Here is a 1,903-nt window from a genome sequence, read left to right as displayed (position 1 = left end):
TATTTTTCTCCTCAAGACTCCATTGAAGTTGATTAAGCAAAGGATACAAAAAAGATTCCCTAGGCCTCTGTTTGGCTAAATGTAAGAAAACTTTATCTAAAATAAAGTGAGGGGAAAAAGTTACCCATTGGAAGGGATCTTAAAGTTTATCTGGCCAAAACTCTTAATTTTACACAAAAGAAAACTGAAGCTCCTTAATATATAAGATGATTGACCCCAGTTATTGCCTTCCCCAGTAATTTTAGTGGTCACTTTGATTGGTACTAGCATATTCCCCAAATCTGCAATTAGCAGAGCAAAAGAGACATTTCTGAGGATTCAATATGGGAAACAGACTTTAAAAAATTTCTTTGTTAGATCATTATTTGAACATGCATTTCCTCAAGAAATGTTTGTGAGCCTGTATAGACTTTTCTTTATTTGTAAGCAATCTTGATTTCTGTCTGATAATTTTCCTACATTATTCATCCAGAGCAGAAAAGGTGATGGTGATGGTTACATGATGTAGACTGCCATGAATTTTTTCAACCTGTTATTTAGTCATGGTTTGACTACCACAAAATCAGAATAAGAGATTGCAAGTTTCCCATAAATTCAGAAAATATTCTAGCAGCTGAGAACCAATACTATCAAAAGTCTACAGTGAGATTTGAATCCATTTCTAAGAAAACCAGACAATGAAATCTATGAGGTTACTAAAAGTTTACTGATATAATATTATAATATTATGAAAGTGCTAGTGTATCTCCACTGAAATCAACCATTTACTTCCTTCCCAGTAGAATATTGGACAAATAAATGAGATAGTTTCATATTCCGATTTATAAACAATATCTGCTGCAGAGGGAAAGCCCTGGCAAGTATCTTCTATGCTTCACTTTAATGGCAGTCAGCCAGAGAAGGTGATTGCATCCAACAGCAATCACTCCCACTTCAGAGACCAGGAGAGTCAGGGAAAAAAGTTTTCTTCTTCCCCAAAGTTGTCAGCTACCATCCAGGTCTAAGACTTGCCTGCCTTCCTTTACCCATCTCATTTCTGTGACGTCCCTTTAAAGGCTCGCTTTCTTTCTTTCCCTCCCTTCCTTCCTTCCTCCCTCCCTCTTTCTTTCTCTTTCTTTCCTTCTTTCTTTCTTTCTTTCTTTCTTTCTCTTTCTTTCCTTCTTTTCTTTCCTTTTTCTTTCTTTCTAGACAGGGTCTCACTCTGTCACCCAGGCTGAAGTGCAGTGGTGTGATCACAGCTTACCACAGCCTCGACTTCCTGGGCTCATGTGGTTCTCCCACCTCAGCCTCTTGGGTAGCTGCGAGTACAGGTATGAGCCATCACTCCTTGCAAATTTTTTGGTACTTTTTGGTAGAGATGGGGTTTCGTCATGTTGCCCAGGCTGGTCTCAAACGCCTGGGCTCAAGTGATCTGCCTGCCTTGGCCTCCTAAAGTGCTGAGATTACAGGTGGTGAGCCACCGCGCCCAGCCTAAAGCCCCTCCTAACCAAAATCAGCAAGAATAAAGAATCTAACCCTGTCCTTAAGGGGACTTTATAGTGCCCTGGGTTATTGACAAGGGCTAGGACTCAGCAAAACTTCAGGTCATGTACAGCATCTTACTCGAAAATGAAAAGGGTTTATAGGCAGCTGTTTACTAGGCATCCATCTCTAGGCAGTGATGAGCACAGCTGACTTGGCTTCCCTGCAAAGATGTGATGGTTTCTAGTGTAAGGCAAGTATGGTCTCTCTGAATGCCTTGGCTCAGCTTGCAGGAGTCTTCCTCGTGTTTGCCATTCTCTCTGTGTTGAAATCTCTCCTTTATCTGAGGCCTCTCTATGCCACGTTATCCCTTTGAACACAAGTTATACTGTCTCCTATAAAGTCTTATCACATAACTCTCCTTCTCATTACCCAGGATAGA

General features: G+C 40.6%; 2 annotated features.

Moving 5' to 3' along the window:
* Nucleotides 1,461-1,510: an enhancer, noted in NCBI's record as "active region_1386". NCBI's record gives its function as "activates an Ori minimal core promoter by ATAC-STARR-seq in GM12878 lymphoblastoid cells {active_cell/tissue: GM12878}" and the evidence as "EXISTENCE:reporter gene assay evidence [ECO:0000049][PMID:35858748]".
* Nucleotides 1,601-1,690: an enhancer, noted in NCBI's record as "active region_1385". NCBI's record gives its function as "activates an Ori minimal core promoter by ATAC-STARR-seq in GM12878 lymphoblastoid cells {active_cell/tissue: GM12878}" and the evidence as "EXISTENCE:reporter gene assay evidence [ECO:0000049][PMID:35858748]".

The sequence above is a fragment of the Homo sapiens genome, chromosome 1, assembly GCF_000001405.40.
Source record: "Homo sapiens chromosome 1, GRCh38.p14 Primary Assembly".
Classification (NCBI taxonomy): Eukaryota; Metazoa; Chordata; class Mammalia; order Primates; family Hominidae; genus Homo; species Homo sapiens.
This window is presented reverse-complemented; position numbering and strand designations above follow the sequence as displayed.